The sequence below is a fragment of the Homo sapiens genome, chromosome 16 (genome assembly GCF_000001405.40).
Source record: "Homo sapiens chromosome 16, GRCh38.p14 Primary Assembly".
In the NCBI taxonomy this organism is placed as follows: Eukaryota; Metazoa; Chordata; class Mammalia; order Primates; family Hominidae; genus Homo; species Homo sapiens.
Window position 1 is genome coordinate 33,457,679 of NC_000016.10, and position 5,103 is coordinate 33,462,781.

The 5,103-nt window shown below is 44.4% G+C and overlaps 1 protein-coding gene across 6 annotated transcripts; it reads left to right on the plus strand.

Annotated features, from left to right (window-relative positions):
* Positions 1 to 1,933: 1,933 nt before the first annotated feature.
* On the plus strand, positions 1,934 to 4,571 carry TP53TG3F (TP53 target 3 family member F). 6 transcript variants are annotated; one of them, NR_158199.2, is made up of 4 exons: positions 1,934 to 2,363; positions 2,469 to 2,635; positions 3,034 to 3,322; positions 3,535 to 4,571. NR_158199.2 is itself a non-coding variant. In XM_011546033.2 (3 exons), exons 1-2 carry the CDS (start codon positions 2,002 to 2,004, stop codon positions 2,503 to 2,505), a joined length of 399 nt encoding a protein of 132 aa, XP_011544335.1. In that variant the 5' UTR covers positions 1,934 to 2,001; the 3' UTR covers positions 2,506 to 2,635; positions 3,543 to 4,571. The 6 variants fall into 6 exon arrangements, 3 of the variants coding, with proteins under 3 accessions (XP_011544335.1, XP_016879445.1, NP_001316995.1); NR_158200.2 differs by having other exon boundaries at positions 3,543 to 4,571; NR_158198.2 differs by lacking the exon at positions 2,469 to 2,635.
* Positions 4,572 to 5,103: the final 532 nt, after the last annotated feature.

Below are 5,103 nucleotides of genomic sequence, written 5' to 3' on the forward strand. Positions count from 1 at the left end.
ATGTACACAGACTCCTATGTACAATGATATCCCACCAAATGGGATAAGGGAGAAGACATGAATACATTTCTAGACAAGTACCACCCACCAAGACTGAAGCATAAAGAAATAGAAAATATGAATAGATCAGTAATGGGTAAGGAGTTTAGATCTGATGACTTTGTTGCTGAATTTTACTAAACATTTAAAAAGAACCAAATCTTTGAAAAAATTGAAGGAGGAGGAATACTTCCAAACTCATTTTATGAAGCCAGCATTACACTGATACAAAAACCAGAGATGGACATTACAAGAAAAACAATTACAGGCCAATATCCCTGATGAACATAGATGAAAAATCATCCGCAACGTAGTTGCAAATGAAATTCAAAAGCACTTTAAAAGGATCATTTATTATGATCAAGTTGGATTTATTCCTGGGATGCAATAATATTTTAATATGTGGAAATCAATAAATGCCATACTCCTTATTTACACAACAAAAAGATTAAAAATCATGACTTTTTTATGCATGCCTAAAATTATTTTGACAAAATTTAAAATCCATTCCAAATAAAATCTATAACAAATTAGGTATAGAAAGAATATACCTCAAAATAAAGAGATATGTTCTTTATAAGCTATAGGACAATCCCATGGTTAACATTATTGTCAATGGTGAAATTTTGGAATTGTTTTTAAGATTTATTATAAGAAAAAGATGCCCACTCTCACTACTTCTTTCAACACCGTATTGGAAATCCTGCTCAGAATCTAAGACAAGAGAAAAAAGAGCATTTAAATAAGAAACAACAAGTTCTTCTATTCATGGAGATTAACGCTCAGGTTTTTGCAGATTAGATTTAACAGCATGAAATCTGTACCATCCAGGAATCAAAGGATATAGGACTTTAGGGCATCAATTATTAAGAGGCTATAGGAAAGCAGAAATGCTCCTGGATGTTTCCATTGTCCACACACAAAATTTCAACAGACCAGCCCCAGGAAGTAAAGGCACATTCCTGACTACTGTTAGTTGATGAGCTTTTCACCAAAAGCAGAGATGTGAGACCTGGCAGGTTTCAAAGACCCCTCAAGTGCTCCATACCTTGAAATTCACTTCCACAAAGCTAGAACACCATCTGTTCCTGAGGGATCAGGTTATCGTCTGTTTCTTTTAGGCACTGGCCAGTCAGGCTTTAGTGGACACGAAGCCACAGATTTTTAGTGTAAAATGCCTAATCTATCATAATCTTTAGGTAGATATTTGGAGGCCTGCACACTTAAATGGGTTGGTGAAATGTCATACCAGACACATGGCTGGGAATTGGGTTTTTCTCCTCCGCTCTTAGCAGCACCTTTGTAACCCAGTGATTACCCCCCTCATGGCTCCACGGCCACATCCGCAAAAAGGGTACTGGTGAACGTGACATTTTCACGAAGCCACAGCCCATGGTCACTCCCTGCAAAGCTCTGAACTTGCGCATTCCCAGGCCAGGCCGTGGTTGTCTTTCCAAGGCGGCTCAGCTTGTGCTTTGCTTGGAGAGAGCGGAGGGCAGCAGCACAGTGACAGCGTCTGGGACCTCAGACCAGTTTCCACAGCCACTTATGAAAGCAGACGGCTCCATGGGCTGGAGGAGGTGGGACGCTCTGGAAAGAACTCGGGTGCGAGTGGGAAAGAAAATCGAGCTGAGCAGCTGGAAGTCGAAGTCGCGTGAGTGAGGACCAGACACTCTCGATTTAGGCAAAGGCGGGGTGCACTTCCCAACAACACATCCTCCTCACTGGCGAGACCAGGCCTGCCCTTCAAGTTCCTCTCCTGATTTAATCCCCTTGGCGAGGGTTTGGCATGAAATCAATGGCCAGCAAGCTTGGTAAACGAAGCCGCCTACACCGCCCTCCCCCTCCCTGCACGGCCGCGCCCCGCCTCCGCTCCTGTCTCAATCTGGGATTGTCCTCCTGTAGCCCCACCATCCACCGTGGGGAACGGTGGAGAGACTACAACTCCCAGTATGCACCGCGATGCGCGCCTCACCCTGCATCTCCCAGCCCGCAGCCAGCTGGCATCCTAGACCCTCTGCCCTGCGACCAACAGCCGGGAGCGGACCAGACACCAGAACTCCCGGAACGGTTGAAGACGGTTCCGCTCCCTGTCCCGCCTTTCGCAGCCCAGCAGTTTCGCCCTGCGGAGAGGAGCCTTGCTGTTTCCAAATCTCTCCTGCTGAAGAGACATTGGAGCTAGGGCGGCTAGTTTCACCTGGTAATTGTGACACCCTGTCTCCTCGAGCTGCAGGCTTTTATGCTTGTCATGTTCGAAGTTTGATACCTTGCAGATCAACAAAGGGCCGGTGGCCTCTCACTGCCTCCGCGGCAGGGTTGTCAAGGTAACGCTCCTCAGACAAGGGTGGGGCGCGACCCGCCCCTTTTCTCACCCCGCCTCCTCCTCAGCCCCACCCTCCTTCGCTCCTCCTCTTGTCACTCCCTTTCAGACATGCGCAGTGCGGCCCGTCCCTAGGGCTGGGTTAAGGGCCGCGGATGTGGCAGTTCTCAGGCCTCTTGGGATCGCCTCAAGAAGCCCCCTCACGAGTGTCTCGATTTCCTGTCAGCCAACAAAGGGCCGTTCGCCTTTCATGGCCTCCACAGCAGCGTTGCCGTGGTAACGATCCTCCGCCGGACGTTGGCCGCACCGCGCCCCTATTCTTGCCCATCTCCCGCTCCGCCCCGTCCCTTCTCGCTCCTCCCTCTTGTCACACCCGTTCAGACATGGGTAGTGTAGCCCGTCCCTAGCGGCGGGATAAAAGTCCTGCCCTTTCACACATGCGCAGTGCACCCATTCCTAGGGGTGGGGCTAAGGGGCCTGCCCTTTCGGAAATGCGCAGTGCAGCCCGTCCCTAGGTGTAGGGTAATGGCGGCCGACCTGGAGGCTCCTTGGGATCCCCTCGAGAAGCCCGTTCATGAGTGTCTGAAACTGTCACTTGACTGCCAGAAGTGAAAACATCGTGTCCCTAGTCACCTGCCATTTGCCTTTTCAAAACCATTTCCTCTGTTCTCTAGGCTGTCACAAATCCTCTGCACCCCAGGAGCGCCGCTTGGACCCCCGGGCTCGCTGCGTGGTCCATATCTAGGTCGGGCCTCTCACGGAGACTTTCCCACCAGTGTAATAAAGAGGAGAAAACGTCACAGCGGAAGGGCCTGACCCTGCTGCATCCACTAAGGAAACAGCTACGGGGATGGGACCCTGGGAGCTGCTGTGGAGCCTCATCCACCGCTTCTCTGACCCCACCCAGGCTGCTTCCCAGGCCTCAGGGTCTTAGTGTGGACCTCCGGGCCGTGATTAATGCAGGTCAGCAGGACCAGAGCGCCCCTTGGTCCCTCCCAACACATGAGGGTAGTTTGTGTGGTGAGGTCAGGGATAGTGTCTGCGCTTCTACCCTGAATAGGGCTCCCTTGGAAAATACTTTAATATCTCTTTTTAAATACCCCCTTGGACCACTTTTAATAGTTTTCTGATAGAACTAAACAGTGATCATTCTCTTAATTCATGTTTCCATTAAGTTTTTCAGGTTAAGTACTGCACGACTACTCGCTTCTGAAACTGATAGACACTGCCTCAGCTCCGTGCAGGGCAGACGCACAAGAGCAGAATCTCCGTGGGACATCTCTCTGGAGCATCAATATTACTGCAGTATTTGGAAGAAACAAATTTAAATAAGTTCTAAGGTGAAGAATGGAACATTTAAGACAAGTCTGGAAAGTCATCTGCCTTTAATAACTGTCGTTTGTCCTTAACGTCAGACTTTCTCCAAGACCAAAACTCTAAGAACTTATTTCCATTCTTACAAATAGTAAAAATGATAAATCATATCAAGTCAATTGAAAGTCCTGCCTGCTGCTTTCCTAAATTGCAATATGGCCTTGGTATGGTTTTATTTGTACTTTTGTGGGGGATTCGTGGATCTTTAGATTAAAAAAAAAAAAATAGGTTTTTGAACAATTTTTGCAAGTTTGCAGCTGTTAGTTATTGATTTATTTTTCCAACCCATCTAATTCTTCTGTCTCTCTCCTCTCCTCAGGCTCAATAATTCCATGGGTCTCTAAGGCTGTGTTTATTTTCTTTAAATTTTGTTGATTTACTTTTATACTCCATTTGATTTTTTCTATCTCTCACCTTTTCTCAGACTCAGTCATCCCACAGGTCTGTAAGGCTCTGTTCATTTTCTTTAAACTTCTTTTTTTTTTCCTCTCCTCAGATTGGATAAATTATATTGCTATGTCTCTGTTTCTGAACTATAGAAAAGCTCAAAATTATTATTTTTATTTCTCATTTTTTATATGGCTATTTTTTCTCTGCTGATGTTTCACATCTATTCATTTATGAGAATATTTTCCTTTGCCCTCATGAGCGTGTTTATAATAGCTGCCTTCAAATTCTTGTCTGCCGTTTACATCTTGGACATCTTGGAGATGGCTACTGCCTGCTTTTTATCTTGTGTATTTATTACATTTTCACGTGTCTTCACGCATCCCTTGAATTGGAAATTGTGCCCTGGAGACTGTATACAAGACTGGATTAAAAAGACTGGATTCTGTTTTGTCCCTGTGAAGAGTGTTGTTTTTAAAAGATGGTGTTAAATGGGCTGGATTCTATCTTCAATACTTATCTCTCCTATGGAAGTCATAGCCAAAATATGCATTCAGTTTTTATATACACATATTTCATGTATGTATTGTATATAGAAATGTTTCTATAATGATATATAATAATTTACCCAGGATTCATCATTTTTCTGTGTGAGAGTGTTAGTTCAGTTAGCTACTTCATCATTAGTGGAAGCCAGAACCTCAGTTTTGATTTTTGAGTGTAATATAAAAAATTACACAGTATGGATACTTTTACATCAATTTTTTAATGCAATATTATATTTGTGATATTTATGCTGTTACAGATATCTACAGTTTGTTCATTTAAAAAAGTCCTTTTTTACATTGTGGTAAAATATACATAAAATTAACCATTTTAACAATTTTTAAAAGTGCAGGACAGAGGAATTAATCATACTCACATTGTTCTACAACCATCATCCACATTCATAGGGAAATTTGTTCATTTTGCAAAACTCAAAC